The 27,936-nt window shown below is 39.9% G+C and overlaps 1 long non-coding RNA gene across 1 annotated transcript in view, besides 2 other annotated features; it reads right to left on the bottom strand.

The window, feature by feature from the left end:
* Positions 1-18,947, bottom strand: part of LINC01908 (long intergenic non-protein coding RNA 1908) — a 50,682-nt gene extending 31,735 nt beyond the window's left edge. Inside the window, exons 1-4 of the long non-coding RNA XR_002958212.2 lie at positions 18,747-18,947; positions 18,250-18,407; positions 8,005-8,085; positions 7,348-7,399 (exon numbers count right to left, since the gene is read on the bottom strand). This is a non-coding gene — a long non-coding RNA (long intergenic non-protein coding RNA 1908). The remainder of the gene's footprint in view (positions 1-7,347; positions 7,400-8,004; positions 8,086-18,249; positions 18,408-18,746) is intronic.
* Positions 9,942-10,654: an enhancer, noted in NCBI's record as "OCT4-NANOG-H3K27ac-H3K4me1 hESC enhancer chr18:24812317-24813029 (GRCh37/hg19 assembly coordinates)". NCBI's record gives its function as "activates a minimal SCP1, AML or CMV promoter by ChIP-STARR-seq in naive H9 embryonic stem cells {active_cell/tissue: H9 hESC(naive)}" and the evidence as "EXISTENCE:reporter gene assay evidence [ECO:0000049][PMID:30033119]".
* Positions 19,083-19,606: an enhancer, noted in NCBI's record as "H3K27ac-H3K4me1 hESC enhancer chr18:24803365-24803888 (GRCh37/hg19 assembly coordinates)". NCBI's record gives its function as "activates a minimal SCP1, AML or CMV promoter by ChIP-STARR-seq in naive H9 embryonic stem cells {active_cell/tissue: H9 hESC(naive)}" and the evidence as "EXISTENCE:reporter gene assay evidence [ECO:0000049][PMID:30033119]".

The raw sequence follows: 27,936 nt of genomic DNA, 5'->3' as shown, positions 1-27,936 counted from the left end.
ACCTCCAGCAAATTATTCAACTTCCCTGAGTCCCCTTGTCTTCATTGGTATAATGAGTAAAACCAACCGATATGGTTGTTGGAAAGATTAGAATAATATACTACACAGGTAACATTCAAGCAAGCTTCCATGCAGCCCCATGCCCTCCTGTGACCCAGAGAGGAAAAGAGGAGTGTGCTCTGCCAGATAGAGAAATAAATGAGTGCACATTATCGTAATTGCAGAAAAGGAATGCTGCAAGCTGTCAGTAAAGAACTGGGAGGTAGAGTTGCTCTAGTAGTTTAGAGATCACCAAAAAACGAGACCTTTTTGTAGCCTTTCAATAGATATTTATTGGGCACTTACTTCCAGGTGCCAGCTACTGTTCCAGGCACTGGTAATACAGCAGTGAAGAAAACAAAAATTCTGCCCTATGGAGCTTGCACTTTAGCGGGGGAGGAGATAGAGATCATAAGCAAATAAGAATTAGATAATGTGTTAAATTGTGATAAGTGCTCTGGAAAAACAAGGCAAAGAAAGGGGTTAAAAAGTTACTGTGTATAGGGAGGAGGGTGTGATGAACTCTAAATGAGATGGTCAAGGATGAGTGAAGAACAAAAGTTTCTTGAGTAAAACCACTTTAGAAGTCATTGCTTCACAGTATAGGGAAAATATCTCAGGAAGATGTAAAAAGCTCTGATTTCTGATGTATTTAGAGTTTTATCGATAAAGATATTTATCCAAGCTTTGTTTTATGATAGCAAGACATGTAAATAACACAAAGCCACAACTGAAGAGTTTGATTCTTCATAACACCATGTTAATGTTTTTAGATTATGTCATGTTTAAATTAGATATGTATCCTTTCTGTCTTATTGAAGGCATTTGGAAGAGTTCTGGTTTCTGGGAATTTTTTTTTTTCTTTCTTTTTTTTTTTTTTTTGAGAGAGTCTTCCTCTGTCTCCCAGGCTGGAGTGCAGTGGTGTGATCTCAGCTCACTACAAACTCTGCCTCCCGGGTTCAAGCAATTATCCTGCCTCAGCCTCCCGAGTAGCTGGGATTACAGGCACCCACCACCACACCTGGCTAATTTTTGTATTTTTAGTAGAGATGGTGTTTCACCATGTTGGCCAGGCTGGTCTCAAACTCCTGACCTCAAGTGATCCGCCTGCCTCGGCTTCCCGTAGTGGTGGGATTATAGGTGTAAGCCACCGCACCCAGCCTAGAACTTTTCAGTCTAATATTTTAAATATTTTAATTTTAATAACTTAACTTCAAAACAATACTCGTTTCTGGTAGAAAATGTAAGAAAATAATGCAAGTGTTTTTAAACAACCAAAGTACGTATGAAAAAAAATTACACAACCTTTTAGTGTTGTGTGATCGAAGAATAACACATGGTTATGTGCCCCATCCATAGATTTGAAGCCATATATAACGTACACTCCTGAGTTCTTAAGTACGCTTTTCTCAAATTAGAAAAGAACAGAATGGTATTCCGTAAAATGTTAAAATGTTGATAGCATTTCTGTTATGAAGGTGTGACAGAGGTTTTTATTTTTTTAAAAAATTTTATCTTCTTACATTTTTCTACCAGAAAGAAGTATTGTTTTGAGGTGAAAAAAAAGTTATTACAATTAAAATGTTAAATTGCAAAGTTCCAGACACCAAAACCCTTCCAAATGCCTTGGATAAGACCTAAACATGAAGTATATCTAAACCTGACATAACCTAAAAAGAACATTAGCCCAGTGTTATGAAGAATCAACAATTTAAAATTATGTTGACAGGTCAGAAGAAGGGCTAAAGGCATCAAGATGAATGTTATTAAAAATTACTGTAGGATGGGTGCCGTGGCTCACGCCTGTAATCCCAGCACTTTGGGAGGCTAAGGCGAGTGGATTGCCTGAGGTCAGGAGTTCGAGACCAGTCTGGCCAACATGGTGAAACTCTGTCTCTACTAAAAATACAAAAAAAATTAGCCAGACATGGTGGCATGGGCCTGTAATCCCAGCTACTTGGGAGGCTGAGGCAGAGGAATTGCTTGAACCAGGGAGGTGGAGGTTGCAGTGAGCCAAGATCGTGCCACTGCACTCCAGCCTGGGTAACAAAGCGAGACTCAGTCTCTAAAAAAAAAAAAAAAAAAAAAAAAAATATATATATATATATACACACACACAAACACACACACACACACACATATATATATATAAATCTAAAACCCCATTTGGATTTTTTAAAAAATCAATTAGAGAATTACAAAGCCAAGGATTCCATCTTGACAACAGTACATGCAAAGAAAAACCTGAGGGTATTAACGACCACAAGCTGAACGTGAGTTTCTAGTGTGATGCAGTTGCCTGGGAGCTAATGAATACTTACATTCATTAATAGGATTCTGGTGCCAGCACAGCAGACATAATTGTCCTACTGTGGTCTATACTGGCCAGATAAAATTGGGTCCCCAAAGAGGCGCAACACACTGTAAGTTGCTTTTCTCTTTCACAGCACTAGTCACAGTTGCAAATCATTAATTTATGTGACAGCTTGCTTAACACCTTTTCTCTCTGCAGGTCTGGAAGTTCCCTGAGGGCTGGGACTGTGCCTTTATTGTTTACTGTTTTATCTCCAGTGTCTAGCATAGGCTGTCATAAACTATTGCAGTTTGTTGTTTTGAGTATTGTTCAGTTCCAGTAGCCTCATCATTTATTCTATTTAACAACACTTACATGGTGTTTATATGTGCCAAGCATGAGTCTAAGTCCTATAGCTATTGACTCATTACTCTTCACTGCAACTATGTGAGGCAGGTAGAAGAGATCACTGCGATACAGAGGGATTAAAAACTGTATCCAAGCTGATCAGCGTTGGAAGTAAAAATCTGAACCTAGGCACTCCACACTCTGCTTACACTCCAAAACAAAACTTTAAAAACTAGATTCCACCTATATGAGGCTGGCCAGAAAAAGACTGAGAAATATCATATTTGAAATGTTTGAAATAAATGGACATATTTGGCTAAAAGCAAACCAAAAACAGAGATAATATGGTCATTTGACTTCAAATTTAGAAAAGCTTCCACGTAAAACAGAAATGACTAAAATTAATGAAGTCTCCCGTGTTCAGTCTGAACCTGCATGCTGATTGCTGAATCAGTCGCAGTTTGTGCCTACTGTTGCAACACAATTGTTAATAGCACCCTCTTTCGTTCATAAGAATGTTCTAATTTGGATAATCAATTATTATATGGTCACCAAATTCATGGCTTAAAAGATTACACATTTTTAGCACATCTGACCATCACAGAAGTCCTGTGTAGTTGGTATTAATATTATTATACTATTCTCCATTCTTTAGCCTAAAAAAATATAGACTTGTTCCAAAATTCTTCCACCAATGAGTGGCGGAGCTGTGACTTGAATCCTGATACGCTGGTCCAAACTATTCTCTGGCTACTCTGCTGGGTAATTTGACCAGTTCTGCCTTGCTACAGAGTGCCAAGCTAGGATAAATGGCTGGAAATTCCAGAGAGTAAGATTTATCTGCAATGAAGCACCATATGTAATGAGTTTTTACGTTTAAAAAATTGACTTAATGAGTGCTCTTGCCTGGCCAAAAATCCCCTGACCATTTTCTGGATGGACAGGTGACAAGGGTTTTACCCAGGGACCTCTTGCACCAATTGTGACTTGCATCACTACCTCTGAGCTTCTCAGAATGTGGAACATACATTGCTAATGGTAAATGAACTATTAGAGTGTCATGAAATGATTTTTAGAACTCCACAGATGCAGCATTCAAAATCACTGACCTTCCTAATGAGACTTTTCAATTCCCTTTTTAATTATAGTTTCACTCCCTCCATTACGGCCTAAGGGAAAGCCTCAGATTGGTGCCATAATACTTTTCAAACATGCTAACCTACCTTTCAACCAAGAGAGCAACAGGTTCTAGAATGCAGGGGGCAATAATATCCAGTTAACCAGATCTGATACTCTTGTTCTACTTTCAAAGAATTTATTCTAATTTTAGTTTCCCATTTATAGCAATGATAAAAATTTCTGTAAATAAGTCAACTTACATCAAAATATTTCATACCTTATATTAGAAGATGTGGAAGGAAAAAAATGCTCCCCACCCCAGGATGTCCACATCCTAATCCCCAGATCCTGTGAATATGTTATCGTACATGACAAAAGGGATCTTGCAGATGGGATTAAGGTTAAGAACCTTTGACATGGGGAGATTATTTTGGATTACCTAAATGTGCCTGTTGTGATCATATGAGTTTTGAAAAGTGGAAAACCGTTCTCAGCTGTTGTTAGAAAAATATGTGACGACCAAAGAGTCATCAAGATGCAATGTTGTTGGCTCTGAAGATGGAGAAAGAGGGCCACCAGCCAAAGAATGTGGGTGGCCTCGAGAAGATAAGGCCAGGAAACCTATTCTCTCCTATGGCCTCTAGAAAGGAACAAAGCCCTGCCAACACTGTGATTTTAGCCCATAAGATCCATGTCCAACTTTTGACTTATAGAATTACAAGACAGTAATTCCATGTTGCATAAGCTACCAAATTTATGACAATTTGTTAGGCAGCAGTAGGAAACTTATGAAGAAGGGTATAGGCACTACCCATTATATCCATGTAACAAAACTGCACTTGTAACCCCTAAATTTATACAAATGAAAAAAGACAGGTATAGAGATAGGTGAAGTTATGAGGGTGGTGTTTAAATGATTGAAGTTTGGAAAATAATTATTCTAGATGATTCATAATGTCCCTTCAAGTTTAGAGATGCTCTGATCATGTTCCATCATCTGTCAGACTTCCGTTCCTCCCAATAGCTAGTTGTGTTTCTTGTGCTTTCATAGATGTTCCAAAAAGTCATTTTAAAACAGTGAGACTTATTCACAGGAAACTTGATCTTGTTTGAAAAAGTAGATTGTTTTTCAGGGATGCAGTGTTGGCAATGTATACGCGGCAGTCTTATTTCCAATTACACAATTTTTATATAGATTTTCTTATGTTAGATTTATCTATTTGCCTCAAATTAGTGAGTTTTATTGTCCACACATCACAATATTTGTTAAAAGTGCAAAACTATGCTCCTGGATTCTGGAGATTCTCAATTTCTGTGTTAATCTAAGAAATTTCTACTCTGATTGTTTGAAAAGCAATCAAAGTTTACCAATAAAATGGAAGTTGGTTCTGATAGTATTTGGTTTGTCAGCGTTACATTGTAGGAAAAAAAATTAGGTTTAACCAAGTCTATTTTCTCCACCTTGTTTTGTTCTGCCATTTTGAAAATTCACAGCCTACAAACTCACGTTGATTATATTAATACCTGAGAACACCTGGGTTTATGTTAGAATTAACCATTCACCATTCATCACTTTCTGCTTTGATTTCATTACCCATGTTGAGAAATGTGAAAAGAAAGGTTAATCAGTGAGAGGAAAATGTGTGCCCTCCACATTGTGTGATTATACCTTACACATGTAATCTGTAGACCAATAAAGCAGAACACACAAATAGCCAGTGAATACATAATCAAATTCATTAAGATAGAGCCTGTCATCTTATAATGTTAGTCAAATGCTATTCGACCAATTTGTCTAAAGCAGCTAATGGGGCAAATTGATGTTAGCTGATCTTGAATCTAAAGAGAGGCAATATTCTACAATTAGAGGATTAAAAAAATTTTTTTTCATCATTCTTACATTTAATTCATTTATCTTGAACAAATGTATTTTAATGCTAATGCCACTGAAATAATACCTGAAAGCAGATTTGAAAATGGCAAGCTGTAATTTATGGTGACTCTGGAGGGGTGGAATGGCTACAAGATCTCCAAAAATGCCTGCTAACAAATGGTCAGAAAAGTGTTGACCAGAACACCACACTGATTCATTGTGTTCAGAGCACTAAAGTGCCATACCTCACTCACACACTACAAATTGTAATAAGAATAGAAAATTGATCTTTTCCCCTGGAGGAAAAAAAAAAACAAACCTGAAGTCAATCAATTTTCACCTCAGTTTTAAGAAGAAAATGTCAGACTCCTTTAGTCAAGAGTGACTGGACTATGTATTATCCTTGATCCATATTATTAGGAAATATATATTCTGGCTCTCTAACAACTGAACTATCCACATGATACAAGGTTAATTTTCAATTATCAGACTTTCACCACTGAGAAGAATGTAAAATATCCTTTTGCTTTTCTTTTTAATATGTGTTATTCCTGTCATAAGTAGTAAGTCCTTTGAAACCATTTGGCATTTGTTTTAGAGCAGAGCTAATATTACCAGAATCCTGGGTTCTAGCACATCATTAATTAGTTGATAATTAATATAGGATTTGTGGCAGTAATCTTACAGATTAATTACTTCTAAATTCTCTTTGATATGTTGAACTTTATAAAATGTATTTTTATGGCCATTGCCTCTTCCTAACATATCCCCAGTTTCAGAGAGAACTAAGAGAAACCTAATAAAATTACCTAACACTGCCCATCTTCACCCGGTTTATGTTGCATTATAATATTAGATTTTCATTCCCAGGAAGCAAGAGCTTTCTGTTTAGACTTATACGATAGGGCTTGTGTTTCTTGTTTCACTGGATATCCTCAGTGGATAGTGTTAAAGAAACTATACACATACAGTTATATACGCCTACTTTAAAAACACCTGAGAAAGCTGTTTATTTTATATTTAAAGAAAGAAAATGAGTTGACTTAAAAGTGAGCAGGTAAACGTCTTCTCAAGACCACTGCTTTTGTTTCAAAGACTGAAATTCAGTTTGCCTAGACAGTCTCTTTTCTGCATCTGTAAAACATCCTTAGTTCCAGGAGTTGTGCTGTATTAGTTGGTTTGAGGAAAAGCTGATCCAATTATATTTGTGTCTTTAAACATGAAATTGAAAAATATCTTAAGGGTTGAGGTGCTCGCTAGAGTCAGGGGACACTATATTAACTTCTAATTACTTTATGGTTCGTACACTTGCCTAGATAATCAAGTTTTTTGATGAGAATACACAAATACTTAAACATAAGCATATATATTATTTGATTTTTCTATTATGTCAGTTTGAAGTGCTGGAAGCCTTTTCCAGAAAAAAAAATTCTCAAAGATGGTTCTTAGTAATATATTTGATAGAAACACTAAATAACTCCAATAAGCCTTAGAGATACGTACTTATTTATGGTTTGTTTAGTATAAATCAATAGTTATGTTTTCAGTGAGGATAAGATACTAGATGCATGCTACATTTATAAACTATTAGCACTGTTTTAAAAAGGCAATAAACTCACAGCTGCTTCCAAGACAGTATATAATTAGATGTTAATATTTAACTTAGTTTGCTCACCAGCATTGATTTGCTATTGCTGTTGTTATGACTGCTTCCAGGTGGTTGTCTGCTTTAAAGAAATACACAGTTAAATTAGTAAGAAATACACAGTTAAATTAGTTCAGGAATGATCTATGCCTAAATTATATTTGTACTTTTATTTTTATTTTGAAGTGCCCTGAAGTGAATCATTTCATTTGGCACCTGAAAGTAATAGCATGGCTTCTCCTTGCCATGTGTCTCATTTCTCAAAATATCAGTCAACAGAGAAAGCAATGTGATGATCGAACCTCTCCAATAGAGATGGCTCTTGCACAAATGTTCTCCTACACAGATTGCCAAACTGAAGCCTGGCACATTATTATCAAAAACAATGCATTTTTGGCCTTCTTTGTGACGTCTTCTCCAATTTTAATATACAGAATCCTTTCTTATAACCGGAAATATCCTATGAAGCAAAAGGGACAGGCTTTATCATTGGGGTAATTTAACATTATGCTTCTTACATGGATTTTTGACAGATTTTTACTCAGACTTAAGGTGAACATTCCAAAACTCAGTATTCTTTCAAGTATTTCACATCTCTAAGGGTCATTCCACAATTCTGCACAATGCATTCTTTTTGAATCCCAAAACTCTTAACCCAGCTCAGTTTAGAACCCATGAGCAATTTACCTTTGGATCTGCTCTGTTCCTGTGCACCTCTTCTTGGAATATAAATTTCTGAGCCTCAATGTGCCCTGATGCTGTTCTCTTCTAGAAGAAAGAAAACATTACTATGATGAAGCTAAAACTTACAGGAGTTAGATGATCGTATATTGCCGCTTCTTAAATTCCTTGCTTTGGTTTGTTTTACAGGTTTTGTCCATTTGGGTACTGACTACATAGACCATATTTATGGGACTAGCCTGGTTCATAGTCTGAACAGGTAACATCCTAAAAGGTGTGACTGCAGGACCCAAAGATGGCCACCCTCCCATCACCAAGAGACCCTTTTCCTTACCCTCCCTACCCAACCTCTTCACTGCTGCCTGGAATGCCTGTTAGCAAAGGATGAATTTATTTTCAGTGCACAATGAATGCCAGGTTGAAAATCCAAATAGTCTTGCAAAGAATCACAAACACCGTAAAAATTAGATGTGCAGCCAAGCGTGGTGGCTCACGCCTGTAATCCCTGCACTTTGGGAGGCCGAGGTAGGTGGATGGCTTGAGCTCAGAGGTTTCAGACCAGCCTAGGCAAAATGGCAAAACCCTCTCCACAAAAAATTAGCTGGGTGTTGTGGCAAGGGCCTGTAGGAGACTAAGGTGGGAGGATTGCTTGAGCCCAGGAGGTTGAGGCTGCAATGACCCATGATAGTGCCACTGCACTCTAGCCTGGGTGACAAAGTGAGACCCTGTCTCAAACAAATAAAAAGAAATTAGATAATTAGATGTGCTCTTGTGTGTAGATTTTACTAAGAGACAAGATGTGAGGACATAGAATGCTTGTTACTTCAGATGAGAGAAACTGGCATTAGGTAAGACAAAAGAGAGACTGAGTGTGAAACAGCCTGCTCTTCCAGCTTTTGCTTATGGTCTGTCCTTGTAATTTTTATTATCCCAAAAAAAGCAACACTTGCTATAAAATATTCCATACTACCTGTACAAAACTCTTGATTTTCCTCTTTGGTGGATAATTTTTGAGAGCATGTGGAAACATTTTGACATTGGAGTTTCTATGTTCTGTTATAGTTTAAAGTCTATCTTGCTTTTCATATCATGGTCTCATTAGTATCCCCTCTAGTAGTTGTACATATATCCTTAAATAATTTAGATGTCAATGAAAGGATTGCTTTACATTGGATTCTAATATACATATAATCTCAAATAACTATAACTTGTAAATTCATTAGTGTTACTATTGTTACTGAGTTATACAATATAGACTAATTAACATTTATTGAACCTCAGCAGTACAAGTAAAAATAAACATATCCATTGAATTTTCTGAGCAGGTACCTTATTCATTTTGAGTCTAACATTCAGAAAACATATTATCAGCATGTGAACCATTTTTCAATCAAAATTTCACTTTTACTTGTCTATTTATTATAATGAACTACGAAAAATTAAGCATAGTTAATTTTTCCCTCATGAACTTAATACTTTTATATGATGGCATTTACATTATTGAACAACTAATCAGATTACTGCAGACTGGAAGTCAGCAAATTATGGCCTATGGGTCAAATCCAGCTGCTGGCTGTTTTTGCAACTAAAGTTTTATTGGAACACAGCCACACTCATTCATTTACACGTTGTCTGTGGCTGCGCTGCCACAGAAGAGTTGTGAAACTGTAACAGAGGTCATGTAGTCCACAAAGTACAAAATATTTATTATCGGCCGGGCGCGGTGGCTGACGCCTGTAATCCCAGCACTTTGGGACGCTGAGGCGGGCGGATCACGAGGTCAGGAGATCAAGAACATCCTGGCTAACACAGTGAAACCCCGTCTCTACTAAAAATACAAAAAAATTAGCCAGGCATGGTAGCGGGCACCTGTAGTCCCAGCTACTCAGGAGGCTGAGGCAGGAGAATGGCGTGAACCCAGGAGGCAGAGCTTGCAGTGAATGGAGATCGCGCCACTGCACTCCAGCCTGGGTGACAGAGGGAGACTCCATCTCAAAAAAAAAAAAAAAAAAAAAAAAATTATTATCTAACCCTTCACAGGGAAAGTTTGCCAACTTCTGCTATGCACTGTGAATACTTCAGCATTTGAAAATTCTTGATAACTGTGTAAATTATTTTCCTGTTATTAAAGAAACAGTAAAAGTGATACCTTCATTAAAATATAACCAAAGATCAAATGTTTGCCTAATCCAACATAATGCTGAAAAGATAGAAAAATCCCATGGTGGAATTTTAGGCAATACCACAGTTAATTTATTTCACTTGGATTTTCTGAAAGCTACTTTTTAATCTCTTAGGTGGTTTCATGCGCGTCCATGTGAAGAGACCACCAAACAGGCTTTGTGTGAGCAATAAAGCTTTTAATCACCTGGGTGCAGGCATGCTGAGTCCAAAAAGAGAGTCAGCGAAGGGAGATAGGGGTGGGGCCGTTTTATAAGATTTGGGTACCTAAAGGAAAATTACAGTCAAAGAGGGTTTGTTCTCTGGCAGGCAGGAGTGGGGGGGTCGCAAGGTGCTCAGTGGGGGAGCTTTTAGAGCCAGGATGAGCCAGGAAAAGGACTTTCACAAGGTAATGTCATCACTTAAGGCAAGGACCGGCCATTTTCACTTCTTTTGTGGTGGAATGTCATCAGTTAAGGCAGGGCATTTTCACTTCTTTTGTGATTCTTCAGTTACTTCAGGCCATCTGGGCATATATGTGCAAGTCACAGGGGATGCGATGTCTTGGCTTGGGCTCAGAGGCCTGACAGGTGGATTATTTGGTGACTATAATTTTTCTCTTTTAAAAAATGTGATTGTAAAAAGTAAAGTAGAGGTTCCTCTTCAAAGACTTTTTCCCCATCTAATTAGGAATAAATAGTAACTTCTCTTAGAAGCAAAATTTATTCAAAGACCTGTGCTAACATTCTTAAATATCTGCTAGCTGTAATAAGGAAATTGTCAGGCCTCTGAGCCCAAGCCTGCATGTATTCATCCAGATGGCCTGAAGTAACTGAAGAATCACAAAAGTAGTGAAAATGGCCTGTTCCTGCCTTAACTGATGACATTACCTTGTGAAATTCCTTCTCCTGGTTCATCCTGGCTCAAAAGTTCCCCCACTGAGCACCTTGTGACCCCCACCCGTGCCTGCCAGAGAACAACCCCCTTTGATTGTAATTTTCCACTACCTACCAAAATCCTATACCCCCACCCCATCTGCCTCCCCTGACTCTCTTTTCGGACTCAGCCCGCCTGCACCCAGGTGAAATAAACAGCCTTGTTGCTCACACAAAGCCTGTTTGGTGGTCTCTTCACACGGACGCAAGTGAAAGAAATCAACGAACTTTACATTCTTAGCTCCCACAATTTAGCCTAAATATTTGCCCTGACATGCTTATACTGGTCCAAGCAAACGTTAGATCATAGCCTGTTCCTCTTCCTTATTTAAAAGTGTTTTTACCTTTCTTAGCATTCCACAAGTTACTTCCTCCTTCCTTTGTTCTCCTCTACCTTTGCCTCTTTTAAAAAGTTCTAAGTTGCTAGCCAACCGGGACAAATACAAATATAAGGTCCCATTCCAGCCAGTGGAAACCAGACACATCAGTAGGGTGGATGCATCAGGTGATAAGTGATCCTGTCTCCTTTGTTCGCTGTACTCTTGTGGCAAAACTGCTGGAGAGTGTACCCGTTCTGCAGGAAGGAAAAATGGCCTTACTAAATAAACTTATGTTCAAGCGGTATTTCTTTATGGCACTGGGGAAGAAGCATTTCCAACAGTGATAATGAAACTACTAGACAGTGTAGGACATTAATTTCACATTTACACGATTATGTCTGATCCAAACACATAAGAATGATAAAATACAAAGATAAAGCAAATATATATAAATATGATCAAAACGAAGGTAAATATTAGTAAGGACTAGAAACAGAAGGCAACACTCATTCATAATAAAAATCATTTCCAAGCTAATATTTTCATGCACGTCTGTGTGAAGAGACCACCAAACAGGCTTTGTGTGAGCAACATGGCTGTTTATTTCACCTGGGTGCAGGCGGGCTGAGTCCGAAAAGAGAGTCAGCGAAGGGTGGTGGATTATCATTAGTTCTTATAGGTTTTGGGATAGGCGGTGAAGTTAAGAGCAATGTTTTGCGGGCAGGGGTGGATCTCACAAAGTACATTCTCAAGGGTGGGGAGAATTACAAAGAACCTTCTTAAGAGTAGGGGAGATTACAAAGTACCCTCTTAAGGGTGGGGGAGATTACAAAGTACATTGATCAGTTAGGGTGGGGCAGAAACAAATCACAATGGTGGAATGTCATCAGTTAAGGCTATTTTTACTTCTTTTGTGGATCTTCAGTTACTTCAGGCCATCTGGATGTATACGTGCAAGTCACAGGGGATGCGATGGCTTGACTTGGGTTCAGAGGCCTTACAAATATAAAGTTATTTTAAGAAATAATGATCTATTACAAACGTAATAGTGGTTAAACTTTAGAAGTATTCCAGTAAGAGTTCAGAAGACAAAGATTTACCTTATATCAATTTCTATTAAATATTGTAATATATTTCTGAGATAATAAGACAAGTGATTAGAAAGAAATATGAGGTATAAATATTAGAAGGAAAGGTACAATTTGTTTTTTAAAAGATATAACTGTTTATAGAGAAAAATCCATGAGAATTAAAAAAAAAAAACCCTAGTAGAACTTATAAGAAAATTCATCAGCTGGGCACCATGGCTCATGCCTGTAATCCCAGCACTTTGGGAGGCCGAGGCTGGTGGATCACGAAGTCAGGAGATCAAGACCATCCTGGCTAACATAGTGAAACCCCATCTCTACTAAAAATACAAAAAATTAGCCAGGCGCGGTAGTGGGCGCCTGTAGTCCCAGCTACTCCAGAGGCTGAGGCAGGAGAATGGCGTGAACCCAGGAGGCGGAGCTTGCAGTGAGCCAAGATCGCGCCACTACACTCTGCACTGCCACCTGGGTGATGGAGTGAGATTCCATCTCAGAAAAACATAAAAGGAAAGAAAATTAGTCAAGATTGCTAGAAATAAGATCACCATGTAAAATTAATACTATTTCTATACTCTATTAGAATATCAGAATATGGGTGAGGCGCGGTGGCTCACTGCCTGTAATCCCAGCACTCTGGGAGGCCGAGGCAGGCAGATCACGAGGTCAGCAGATCAAGACTATCCTGGCTAACACGGTGAAAACCCGTCTCTACTAAAAAACACAAAAAATTAACTGGGCGTAGTGGCGGGCACCTGTAGTCCCAGCTACTCGTGAGGCTGATGCAGGAGAAAGGCGTGAACCCGGGAGGCAGAGCTTGCAGTGAGCCGAGATAACGCCACTGCACTCCAGCCTGGGCCACAGAGCGAGACTCCCTCTCAAAAAAAAAGAATATCAGAATATGTAATCAGTTGACATTTCCAATCATAATAGCAACAAAATCATAAGAACTTGGAAATAAATTTAACAAAAAAATACAGGAACATTTTTGAGCAAATTATAAGATTGTCAAATGATATAGAAGAAGATCTGGCAAGACACAGCATACATGGATTAGAAGATTTGAATTTTAAATATACGATTTTCCCTAAATTAATCTATAAGTTTAAGGCAAACTATAAGGTTAAGTTCAATCAAAGTGTCCAGACAGTCTTTTGCAAACTAGATAAGCTAATCATAAAATTAATAGGGAAGAGTAAAGGATCAAGCACACAAACTTGAAAATTTTAAACGTCTAAAGAGGAGGACAGCACAATTGTGTGGTGTGGGAGGTGGAAGGAGAGTTTTCCCTAGAAGATGGGCAAGATATATTACCCCTCCCCACCAAGCTAGAGGAAGTTAGACTGTGTGATAGTGTCAAAGGACAGCTAACCCCATGGAACAGCATAGAAAGCCAGGAATAGACCCATGTGTATAAGGAAACTTGAAGTATGATATAGATGGCATTACAGATCAGTGGGGAAAGGAAAAGCTATTCAATAAACACAGTTGGTACAATTGTTTATCCAAATGGAAAATAAAATTAGATTTTTACCTCACATCCTGTGAAAACCTGCTTTTATTTTTTTCAAGTACGATAAAGCCCTAAAGATAAAGATATTTAAAACTTTTAGGGAAAAAATAAAGGAGAATATTTTGTGACCTCGGGCCAAGAAAGACTTTCTTGAATAAGACAAAAATATCACAACCATAAAGAAAAAGATTGACAACTGTGACTATATTGGAGAAGAATAAGACTATTCAAAAGGGCACTATAAATGAAGTAATGACTGAACAAAACAAAACAAATCAGCCACAGACTCGAAGAAGATATTTGCAAGACACATTACCAACAAAGGATTTATATTTGAATTGTGTTAACAAAACACAGCTCCTACACACTCATCAGGAAAAGGCCAACAGGCCAGGTGTGGTGACTCACGCCTATAATCTCAGAATTTTGGAAGGCCAAGACAGGCAGATCACTTGAGCCCAGGAGTTCAAGACCAGCCTGGGCAACTTGGCAAAACCCCGTCACTACAAAAAAATATTGGAGTCGGCCGGGCGCAGAGTCTCATGCCTGTAATCCCAACACTTTGGGAGGTTGAGGTGGGTGGATCACGAGGTCAGGGGTTCGAGACCAGCCTGACCAACGTGGTGAAACCCTGTCTCTACTAAAAATACAAAAATTAGCTGGGCATGGTGGCGGGCGCCTGTAATCCCAGCTACTCAGGAAGCTGAGGCAGGAGAATTGCTTGACCCCGGGAGGTGGAGGTTGCAGTGAGCCGAGATGGCACCACTGCACTCCAGCCTGGGTGACAGAGCAAGACTCCATCCCCCAAAAAAATTGGAGTCTGTGCCTTCAAACACCATATCATTAAAACCACTTTGCAAAAATGATAGCAGTAAGAAAATTATGGCATGGGAGAAATCTGATCTAGCCAACCCCTGTCTTGCTCTTAGGCTTCAAAGCTGTCCTTAATTATTCCTTGGTTTAAGACAAGCTAACTTTGGGAGACATGTAGCTTGCAGTTTTAATGATAATAGCCCTTCCCCAAAACTCTTTGGTGAAGCTTTGTAAAGCTAATGAGCCACCACCAGGTTAGGAGGATGGAGGAGCCTGAATTCTGCTCTGGTGTAGAGGTAACCTTAAGGGATCACCAGCCATTATTCCGCAGGTCAGAAGATATGCAACTACACACAATTACTGCTGCAGATAATGTCACCATTGAAGAGCTAAGATTGGGCTTTTGAGATCTCTTTTCAGGTTTTTTGCATGTCTGACTACCTATGGCTCCACCTGGACCTGCCAAAGGCCCCTGTGGCCCCACCGAGAACAACTCAGCACAAGAGGACAGCTTCAATCTCCTATGATTTCATATCCAACCCACCCAATCAGCACTCCCCATGCCCTAGCTCCCTGCCTACCAAAGTATCTTTGAAAAACCCCTAACCACTGAACTTTCGATGAGATTGATTTGAGTAATAACTCCATCTTTCCCATGGTGTGGCTGGCCTCGCTTCAGTTAAACTCTCTCATGGCAATGCCGTGGTGTCTGCGAATTCATTTTGTTTGTGCAGTGGGCAGAAAGAATCCATTGGGCACTTATGCTATACACCCTTACTCGTTTGCAAATATGGGAAAATCCTGATATTTGATAGAGGTGGAGAACATGTTTTCTTAAAAACTATGTTACATTGTAATAATTTTATTACACAGTAAACATTTTAGTTGGAAGAAAGTATATTAATATGCTAAAAGAATGGTATTTATAAGAATAACGCTTCGCAATGATTCAATTCCAACCATTTTAATCAATAATAATAACCTTAATAATCATGAAAATAAGGGATTTTCAATTTTCCCTTATTTCATAAGCATTCAATTTTTGTCTTCAATATTCCTAAGCAGAATTCTTTAAAAATAGAACTCAGTACTACCATTATGTGGAAACCAAATTCAGTTATTATTTGCTCATGAAGGGACGCCATTATGCTATTTATGTAGTTATAATATCTTAATCACCACTATGGCATTCAGAATTCTCTGCAGGAATGTACCAGAGCAGCTATGAGAAGATTTTTGTGTGTAGTGAATTATAAATAAATATATTCAATAACGGAGAAAGCAAAAGAAGGAAATTGCCTAGATTCCCTTCGTTTGTGGTAACACTTGCTTTCCCTATACCAAAAGCTACTTCACCGAGTTCATGAGCTCTCTTAAAAACAACTAAGATGTAAATTCTATCCTGTTTGCCTAAGATCTTTGTGGAGATAAACAGACAATGGCAACTTTGTTCAGTGCTCTGAGTCTTGAAGTATGGAAATGAGCTGGCCCTCCAAAGATATTTTAGGTGATCGGCAAGAGGAAGGAGGTGGGGAGAAAATCAGACAATAACAATTGCTGGAACTGACTACCAAATTGAGAATGAATCAGGTTTTCTTCCATGGACACCATTGCTCTTCTTCCTAGGGGCTAAGCATGTGTTTCATTCTTAAAGAATTTTTTTAGGTTAGCCATCAACAGATCCATGTCTTAGAAACATGGTTGAATTCTTGATCCAAAAAATACATTTCATGGTCCTAAATTCTAGCCTCAAAATCCAACGAATAAAGCACCAGTGGCAAGAGAAATAATAGTGCCAAGGCAGGGAGGGAGTATGGGCTGATGAGACCTCAGGCTCCTAGAGTCTATGCATGTGCCCATTCAGAGTTGTATGTGCCAGTTTGGTTTTGACCATTCTCCCTGTCCCATCTGACTAGGTAAATATTTAAAGGGTGAAGGTAGTAACAGCCAAACAAGTGATGCTGCAGGTTTATCTACAAATTCAAAAGGAGTCAAGGGTTTCAACATTAGATGTGTAAAGTCCTTGTATTGGTTCGAACCCCGAGAGCACACCAACAAATAACACGAGGCGGTATGGAGCAACATGCTGTTTTAATGAGTGCCTGGGTGCAGGCGGGCTGAGGCCTAAAATGGCATCAGCACCAAGTGAGGATGGGGCAAAGGTTTTATAGTCTCCTGTAAACAGGAAGTGTCCTAGTCTGACCTAACTGCTACGTTGTACCTGGATAGCCTCTTTCTTGATCTTCAGAGGTACATGTCTTCCGGCTGGCTCTCTTCCTGCTTCTGCTATCTTGCTGGCGCACGCTGCTGCTGCAAGTAGCTTTGCACCTTGGTACCAGGCCTGAGAAGGGAGGAGTTATTCATCTCCTTAAGCTTTCAGGCCTGGGGAAGAACCTTAAAAGATGTACCTGTGAAGCTCTTGCTTCCTACACATCAAGAAGAGAAGCACTTCTCTAACTTTTTAGTTACCTGAGCCTTATTTCCTGTTTGTTTGTTTGTTTGTTTTGAGGGCGAAGTAAATGTGACGTGCTTTTGATATCTATGCCATCGTACTAATGCCAAATTGAAATTATTATGGTGATGACTTACGTGTAGATGCTATTTCATGTTGTTATTATTTTTTATATTAAAAACCATTGGATTCTGGCCAGGTGCAGTGGCTCACACCTGTAATCCCAGCACTTAAGGAGGCCAAGGTGGGTAGATCACCTCAGGTCAGGAGTTTAAGACCAGCCTGGCCAACATGGCAAAACCCTGTCTCTACTAAAAATACAATAATTAGCCAGGTGTGGTGGTGAGAGGTGAAGCCAGCTGGACTTCCTGGGTCGAGTGGGGACTTGGAGAAGTTTTCTGTCTAGCTAGAGGATTGTAAATGCATCAATCAGTGCTCTGTGTCTAGCTAAAGGATTGTAAACACAACAATCAGCACTCTGTAAAAATGCACCAATCAGCACTCTGTGTCTAGCTAAAGGTTTGTAAATGCACCAGTCAGCACTCTGTAAAATGGAGCAATCAGTGCTCTGTAAAATGGACCAATCAGCAGGACGTGGGCAGGGCCAAATAAGGGAATCAAAGCTGGCCACCTGAGCCAGCAGTGGCAACCCACTGGGTCCCCTTCCACACTGTGGAAGCTTTGTTCTTTCGCTCTTCGCAATAAATCTTGCTGCTGCTCACTCTTTGGGTCTGCACTACCTTTATGAGCTGTAACACTCACCTCAAGGGTCTGCGGCTTCATTCCTGAAGTCAGCGAGACCACAAACCCACCGGGAGGAACAAACAACTCCGGACACGCCACCTTTAAGAGCTGGAACACTGACTGCGAAGGTCTGAGGCTTCACTCCTGAAGTCAGCGAGACCACCAACCCACTGGAAGGACGAAACTCTAGACACATCTGAACATCTGAAGGAATAAACTCTGGACATACCATCTTTAAGAACTGTAACATTCATGACGAGGGTCCACGGCTTCATTCTTGAAGACAGCAAGACCAAGAACCCACCAGAAGGAACCAATTCTGGACACAGGGGCACATGACTGTAATCCCAGCTACTCGGGAGGCTGAGACAGGAGAATTGCTTGAACCTGGGAGACAGAGGTTGCAGTGAGCCAAGATTGTACCACTGCTCTCCAGCCTGGGTGTCAGAGCAAGACTCTGTCTCAAACAAACAAACAAAAAACATCAGATTCTCCTTCCTATTTAAAAACAAACAAGCAAGCAAACAAACAAACAAAAAAAACTTTAAAGCACAGTATTACTTTTACTAGCATGTAAAAGATGAACTGTATAAAAATGTAGACAGACCGGGAAAAAATGGCAGATAGGAAGCAGGACTAACTTGCAGTTCCCACTTGAACAGACAAAGCAGCATTTGGAGACTCACACTGTGAAATTTTGCCCCAAGAACTACCATAGGAACATACCAAAAAAGCTGAAAGAATCCACAGACACTTTAAAGGGGGTGGATTGCTGCTGCAGGCTGCATGGGACAGCCAAGGAACTGTGAGTCTGCTTGCTTTCTCAGCTGGGAGGCTTGTAGCCTGGGGCAATTTCTCAGCCCTGCTCACTGCCTGCCTGGAAATAAACTCGGTGCTTCGGTGCTGTTGTGGGGGCACAGTGGGAATGAGGCTGGCCTTTCAAGCTGCAGGCTGCAGGCTCCATGGGAGCTGGGTGAGGCTTGTGGCTGCTGGCTTTCTCCCACTTCCTTGGCAACCTATGTGACACAGCAGAGGTAGCCATAATTTCCCAGGAACATAATTCAACTGGACTGGAAACAACATCCCATCCCCCACAGCAGCCACGGCAAGCCCCACCCAAGGAGAGTCTGAGCTCAGACATGCCTAACCCTGCCCCCACCTGATGGTCTTTCTCTACCTGCCCTGGTAGCCAATGACAAAGGACATAACCTCTTGGGAGCTCTATGGACCTGCCCACCACCTGAGAATCCTGAATACTTATCCAAAGGCAACTCTAGGGAAAGCTTGTATCCTCCATATACTACTGCAGCTGATGCACTCTTGAAGGCTCCACCTCCTGGCTGAAGGCCAACCAACACAAAATCAGGGCATTCAACAAAAATACAACCAAGTACCCTCCCAGAGTCCAATTGACTCCCCTGCTACCTCCATCAGAGCAGGTGCTGGTATCCGTGGCTGAGAGACCTGAAGACAGATCACATCACAGGACACTTTGCAGGCACTCCCCAGTACCAGCTCAGAACCCAGTAGCTCTGCTGAGTGGCTAGATCCAGAAGAGAAATAACAATCACTGCAGTTCAGCTCTCAGGAAGCCCTATCCCTAGGCAAGGGGGAGAGCAACACATCAAGGGAGCAGCCCAGGGACAAAAGAATCTGAACAGCAACCCTTTAGTTCCAGATTTTCCCTCTGACATAGTGTACTCAAATAAAAAGGAATAAAAAAAACAATTCTGGTAATATAACAAAACAAGGTTCTTTGACACCTCCAAAAGACCACACTAGCTCCCCAGCAATGAATCCAAACCAAGAAGAAATATATGAATTGCCAAAAAAAGAATTCAGAAGGTTGGTTATTAAGCTAATCAAGAAGGCACCAGAGAAAGGTGAAGTCCAACTTAAAGAAATCAAAAAAATGATACAGGATAGGAATGGAAAAATCTCCAGTGAAATAGATAGCATAGATAAAAAAACAATCACAACCTCTGCAAATCAAGAACACACTTGGAGAAATGCAAAATGCACTGGAAAGCCTCAGCAATAGAATTGAACAAATAGAAGACAGAACTTCAGAGCTTGAAGACCAGCCTTCTGAATTAACCCAATCTAATAAAGACAAAGAAAAAAGAACTTAAAAAAATGAACATAACCTCCAAGAAGTTTGGGATTATGTTAAACAATCAAACACAAGAATAATTGGTGTTCCCAAGGAAGAAGAAAAATCTAAAAGTTTGGAACACATATTTGAGGGAATAATTGAGGAAAATGTCCCCATGATTGCTAGAGATCTAGACATCCAAATACAAGAAGCTCAAATAACACCTGGGGAATTTCATTTCAAAAAGATCGTCACCTAGGCACATAGACATCAGGTTATCTAAAGTCAAGATGAAGGAAAGAATCTTAACAGCTGTGAGGCAAAAGCATCAGGTAGCCTATAAAGGAAACCCTATCCGATTAACAGCAGATTTATCAGTAGAAACCCTACAAGATAGAAGGGATTGCTTCCCATTTTTAACCTCCTTAAACAAAACAATTATCAGCCAAAAATTTTGTACCCAGTGAAACTAAGCTTCATAAATAAAAATACAGTCTTTATTCAGACAAACAAGTGCTACCAAGCCAGCACTACAAGAACTGCTAAAAGGAGCTCTAACTCTTGAAACAAGTCCTCAAAATACACCAAAATAGAATATCCTTAAAGCATAAATCTCACAAGACCAACAAAACAATAACACAATGCCAAAAAAAAAGGTATTCAGGCAAGAAATAACACAATGAATAAAATAGTACCTCACATCTCAATACTAACGATGAATATAAATGCCCCAAATGTTCCACTTAAAAGATACAGAATTGCAGAATGGACTCACTAACCAAGCATCTGCCATCTTCAAGGGACGACTCACCTGACACATAAGGACTCACATAAACTTAATGTAAAGGGGTGAAAAAAGATATTCCATGTAAATGGACACCAAAAGCAAGCAGGAGTAGCTATTCTTATATTAGACAAAGCAAACTTTAAAGCAGCAGCAGTTAAAAAAGACAAAGAGGAACATTATATAATGATAAAAGGACTAGTCAAACAGGAAAATATCACAATCCTAAATATATATGCACCAAACACTGGGGCTCTCAAATTTTATAAAGCAATTACTGCTAGAGCTAAGAAATGAGATATATGGCAACACAATAATATTGGGGAACTTCAACACTCCACTGACAGCACTAGACAGGTCATCAAGACAGAAAGTCAACAAACAATGGACTTGTACTATACCCTAGAACAAATGGATTTAACACATATCTACAGAACATTCTACCCAACAACTGAACAACTGCAGAACATACGTTCTATTCATTAGCACATGGAACTTTCTCCAAGATAGACCATATGACAGGCCACAAAACAAGCCTCAACAAATTTGAGAAAATAAAAATTACAGCAAGTACTCTCTCAGATCACAGGGAAATAAAATTGGAAATCAACAACAACAACAAAAAACCCTCAAAACTATGCAAATATATGGAAATTAAATAACATGCTCCTGAATGATTGTTGGTTCAACAATGGAATCTGGATCCAATTGTTCTCATTGCATTTAAATTTTGTAGTTGAGTGACTGCAGTTTCCGCTGTTAAATCTGGCGTAAAGAGAAGATCAATCACAGAGCTCTTCAAGGATGTAGGTGCCCCCCTCACAAATCTATTTTGCAAGGTATTGTTGAAAGGTATGTCTTCTGGACCTTATCAGTTGGGATGAGTAGGCCTAAGGTAACTAATCTATTCTAGCATTTCAATCTCCCTAAGCCTTTGGATCCCTTCCTCTACACTAAACCAAGGGAGATCAGGTATTTCCAGCTCACTCACAGTGGGCCACCTTTTGATCCATGTTTCAGCTAAGCAAGCAAATAAACTATTAGAACATTTTTTAACTCCCTGAGTTGCAACATTAAAAGCAGAATCGTTGTTTACTGGGTCCAGATAAATAAATTCAGCCTTATCCAACTCTATGTTCCTTCCACTATCATCTGACATCCTTAATATCCATTCCCATGCCTGTTCTCCAGATTTCTGCTTATATAAATTAGAAAACTCAAGCAGTTCTTTTTGAGTGTAGTGCACCTCCTCATAGGTCACATTCTGAACTTCACCTCTAGGGGTCTGCTGGTACTTTGGTCTAGTTATAAGTCTAGAAGCAAACAGGGGTGTTGGGGGTGGCTCCTGAGGAGAATAATCATTATCTTGTCTGGAGCTGCCTCAAGGGAGGCCATCACTGTTGTCTTAGGCAGCGCAGGGTTTATCTCCTCAGACAAAGGTGGAATGGCTGATGGCAGTGTGGGTCAGGGAAGGGATGTTGCCACTACTGGGGATGGGGAAGCTGTTTCTTCTGGTAAGAAAGTTTCATCAGAGTTTACAAGCTCAGTGTCCCCAGCTTCAATAGGGTCCTCCTACTTGTCCCTATTCCAAATTGCAGGGTTCCATTCTTTTCCAATCAATGCCCTCACTTTAACAGTAGACACCTGGCGAGGCTGTGCATGCACCTTTGGTTGCAGGTCAGCCACTCACATGAGAAGATCCTGTGTCTGATTTTGCACAATTTCATCTTTTTCTCTACAAGAGATGACTCTCACTCAGGGTGATCTTAGCAGATTTGAGGCTCAGTATCTGCTCCTGAAGCTGGGAGTTAGAATCCTTGAGTTCATCATTTTCTTTCATCACTTCATCCAGTGAACTTAGAAGAAACAAACCAACTACACTATGTTCCTTGATTCTCCACATATAGTCAAATTTAGTATGTATAGAGTCACTAAACTCCTGGCCTCTCACAAGCGGTGAATCAGAAGTGTCAAATGCATTTATTTTGCATAACTCTCTAAACAGTTCATGCCAAGGACTATCAGTGTTCTTCATACTATTAGAAGTAGAGTCCTTAGCATTTTGTGGTCCAGTCATATTAAGCAGCCAACTCCAGAAACCCCAAAACCAACAAAAGAACTCCATCCTTAATGGAGTGGTTCATCTAGAACCACTCCTGGTACCAAAATCTGTATTGGTCAGGGTGCTCTAGAGGGACAGACCTAGTAGGAGATATATATATATATATATATATATATATATATATATATATATATATATATATGTAAAGGGGAGTTGATTAAGGAGTATTAACTCACACAATCACAAGATCCCACAATAGGCCATCTGCGAGCTGAGGAGCAAGGAAGGAAGTATATGTCCCAAAGCTGAAGAACTTGGAGTTTGACATTCAAGGGCAGGAAACATCCAGCACAGGGGAAAGATGTAGGCTGGAAGGCTAAGCCAGTCTTAGTCTTTTCATGTTCTTCTGTCTGCTTTTTATTCTGCCCACGCTGGCAGCTGATTAGATTGTGCCTACACCGATTAAGAGTGGGTCTGCCTTTCCCAGCCCACTGACTCAAATGTTAAACTCTCTCCTTTGGCAACACCCTCACAGACACACTCTGGATCAATACTTTGCATCCTTCGATCCAATCAAGTTGACATTCAGTATTAACTGTCATAACCACTATGGAAAACAGTGTGGAGATTCCTTAAAGAACTGAAAGTAGATCTACCTTTTGATCCACCAATCCCACTCCTGGGTATCTACCCAGAGGAAAAAAGAATCGTTATGTGAAAAAGATACTTGCACACTCGTGTTTACAGCAGCACAATTCACAACTGCAAAAATGTGGAACCAGCCCAAATGCCCATCAATAAAAAAGTGGATAAAGAAAATGTGGTGTATATATACCATGGAATGCTACTCAGCCATAAAAATAAATGAAATAATGGCATTCCCAGCAATCTGAGTGGAATTGGAGACCATTATTATAAGTGAAGCAACTGAGGAATGGAAAATCAAACATTGTATGTTCTCATTCATAAGTTGGAGCTAAGCTATGAGAATGCAAAGGTATAAGAATGATACAATGGGCTGGGCATGGTGGCTCGTGCTTGTAATTCCAGCACTTTGGGAGGCCAAGGCAGGCAGATCACCTAAGGTCAAGAGTTCGAGACCAGCCTGGCCAACATGAGGAAACCCTGTCTCTACTAAAAATACAAAAATCAGCCAGGCGTGCTGACGGGTGCCTGTAATCCCAGCTACTCCGGAGGCTGAGGCAGAAGAATCATTTGAACGTGGGAGGTGGAGGTTGCAGTGAGCTGAGATCGCACCACTGCACTCCAGCCTGGGGAACAAGAGCGAGACTCCATCTCAAAAAAAAAAAAAAAAAAAAAAAAAAGGTCAATGGACTTTGTGGACTTGAGTAAATGGGTGGGAGGAAGATGATGGGTAAAAGACTACACAATATGTACAGTGTACACTACTCAGGTGATAGGTGCACCAAAAATCTCAGAAATCGCCACTGAAGAACTTACTCATATAATCAAACACCACCAGTTCCCCCAAAATCTATTTTTAAAAAACTTAAAAATATAAAAATATAGAAACTCTTATGCAAATGTGGATTGGAGACAAAGGCCTTAACCCCATCTCCTCACCAGACTTTGACCCTAATTTCATTCAGGAGCCTGTGTAGCTACATAGCTCAAAGCAGGTCACATTATAATGCCCCTTTTTTCTATACAACGAAGTTATTTTCAGTAATAATCATGAAGTAGCACGAACACATTTCTCATATGGACAAAAATTCATACTTACCAAACTAATACACTTTACAATGTTCATTCATTCTGTCACCGTTTTACGTTTTAAACATGAATGGTCACATAGAACTACAGAATTTAAGGCCGGGCACAGTGGCTCACACCTGTAATCCCAGAACTTTGGGAGGCTGAGGCAGGTGGATCACGAGGTCAGGAGATCAAGACCATCCTGGCTAACACAGTGAAACCTCATCTCTACTAAAAATACAAAAAATTAGCCAGACGTGGTGGTGGGCATCTGTAGTCCCAGATACTTGGGAGGCTGAGGCAGGAGAATGGCATGAACCCAGGAGGCGGAGCTTGCAGTGAGCCAAGATTGCACCACTGCACTCCAGCCTGGGCAATAGAGTAAGACTCTGTCTCAAAAAAAAAAAAAAAAAAGAACAACAGAATTTAGTAACTCTGGTTGTTTCTTCTTTATAATCTTCTGTGTGCTAAAATGTTTATTTCAAATCTACTATTTAAATGCAGGAATCTATAACATACCACCAGGACTGGAGATGGAAATTTCTCTTGACACAAGCTCAGATGATTCTGAACTAAATGCATGTAGCTGAGTCTACATATCCAGGGGATGGGGACAAGAGTTGAGTGAATCCATTTTCATGCCAAATACAATGTATATTAAATAATAAATACAAAAACATCAACAATACCCACAGTAATGACTTAGTAGACCAATGACATTGTTTTCAGAGAAGCTTTTTTAGTTGTCTTACATCTTTTTTTAAAAAAGTTAATTGACACATGATAATCATACATATTTTTTTTTTTTTTTTTTTTTTTTTTGAGACGGAGTCTCGCTCTGTCACCCAGGCTGGAGTGCAGTGGCGGGATCTCGGCTCACTGCAAGCTCCGCCTCCCGGGTTCACGCCATTCTCCTGCCTCAGCCTCCCAAGTAGCTGGGACTACAGGCGCCCGCCACTACGCCCGGCTAATTTTTTTTGTATTTTTAGTAGAGACGGGGTTTCACCGTTTTAGCCGGGATGGTCTCGATCTCCTGACCTCGTGATCCGCCCGCCTCGGCCTCCCAAAGTGCTGGGATCACAGGCGTGAGCCACCGCGCCCGGCCGATAATCATACATATTTACGAGGTGCATAGGGATGTTTTGATACATATAATGTACTGTGATCAGATCATGGCAATTAGCATATCCATCATCTCAAATATTTTTCATGTATTTGTGTTTAGAACATTCAATATCCCCTAGCTATTTGAAACTACATAATATACTATTGTTAACTGTAGTCATCCTACAGTGGTATCAAACACTAGAACTTATCCCTCTTATCCAGCTGTAATTTTATGTCTTTTAACAAATCTCTTCCTATTCCCCTTGTCCTCCACCCTTCCCAGCATTTAGTGTCCTCTGTTCTACTTTTTACTTCTATAAGAACTTTTTATTTTTTGTTTCCACCTATGAATGAGAACATGTGTTGTCTAACTTTCTGTCCCTAGCGTTTTTATCTGAACTTAATGTCTTCTAGGTTTTTTTTAACACTAACATTGTTTAGAAATGCTACTATGTAGGATAAAACAAAGCAGGTTAACTTTTGGTCAGTTTTATTACTATTTTTAAATTCTCTATAGCCATTGAACCTTCTTATTCCCAGAAGGTATGTAGACTGTACCCATTGTTCTGACCTTGGTAAGCCACTGGTCCATCCCATTTAGAAATTCTGGAGCCCAGGCCAGTCTCCTGAAGGGCAGAGTGCCAGAAAAAAATTGCTGTCTGAGGAAACTTGTCCTGATTGGCTATGCCTTTACTCTGGTCTTCACACCTACTCACTTTTTTTTTTTTTTTTTTTTTTTTTTTGAGGTAGAGTCTTGCTCTGTCACCCAGGCTGGAGTGCAGTGGCACAATCTCGGCTCACTGCTACCTCCACCTCCCGGGTTTAAGCGATTTCTGCCTTAGCCTCCCGAGTAGCTGGGACTACAGGCACACGCCACCATGCCCGGCTAAGTTTTGTATTTTTAGTAGAGATGGGGTTTCACAATATTGGCCAGGCTGGTCTTGAACTCCTGACCTCGTGATCTGCCCGCCTCGACCTCCCAAAGTGCTGGGATTACAGGTGTGAACCACTGTGCCTGGCCCCTTTTTTTACTCTCATCTTTCTAACAGAAATGCACAAAAATGAGATTGCCTGTCTTGTGGGGGCAATAACCTCCCTAGCTGATGCTTTTGGGGTGAACAGATAGAAACTGTATTTATCGCACCAACCCAGGTGATAAGATAAATCTGTAATAAAGGTCAAACTATTATGTGTAAAAATTGCTGCTCTAGAAAATAAATAGCTAGAAGTAAGTCTGATTAAAGAATATGCTTTTCTCCTCTCCAGTAATGATTAAAGTTCTTTTTGAAAGTCTGACAATTTAAAGCAGATAGAAATAATGCTACATGAGAAAGGGACAAACATTTATTGAGCACTTATTGTATATTAAGCACTCTACTTACTTTATCTCCATTAATCTTCATAATTTCCATTCTTCAGAATGCAGTGGTACAGAACACTAGAACTTATTCCTCCTATCTGGTTTCTGTAGGACTCCCTAACCAGCTGCCCTCAGTGGGGGCTGTGATGGTGTTTTGGGTTCTCTGGTATCAGTTTCATTCAAATGCTATGATATGGTTAGGCTTTGTGTCCCCACCCAAATCTCATCTTGAATTGTAATCCCCATAATCCCCAAGTGTCAAGGGGGAGACCAGGTGGAGGTGATTGAATCATGGAAACAGCTTCCCCCATGCTGTTCTAATGACACTGAGTGAGATCTCATGAGATCTGATGGTTTTATAAGGGGCTCTTCCATCTTCACTTGGCACTTTTCCTTCCTGCTGCCTTGTGAAGAAAGTGCCTTGCTTCCTCTTCCTGTTCCACCATGATTCTAAGTTTCCTGAGGCCTCCCAGCCATGCTGAACCGTGAGTCAATTAAACCTCTTTCTTTTATAAATTACCCAGTCTCAGGCAGTTCTTTATAGCAGTATGAAAATAGAAAAATTGATGTTATATCTAACAGTTTTAAAAGGTTTTGGGTATTTCCTTTTACCTGTGTTCAGGTACTCTGAATATGGTAGCAGCTCCCTTTGAGGAAGAGTTTGGGAAATATTTTCAGGTGACTGCTGTGTTGAGTCAGAGTTTTCCCTAAATTATAAATGTTTTGAAAATTAGAAGAAGGTGTTTACACACAGAGTTAGGGTGAAAGTGTTTACACACGGAGCTAGGGTGA

Source organism: Homo sapiens, chromosome 18 (genome assembly GCF_000001405.40).
Source record: "Homo sapiens chromosome 18, GRCh38.p14 Primary Assembly".
NCBI classification, from domain to species: Eukaryota; Metazoa; Chordata; class Mammalia; order Primates; family Hominidae; genus Homo; species Homo sapiens.
The sequence above is the reverse complement of the archived record's forward strand: the minus strand, read 5'-3'. Positions and strand labels throughout refer to the sequence as shown.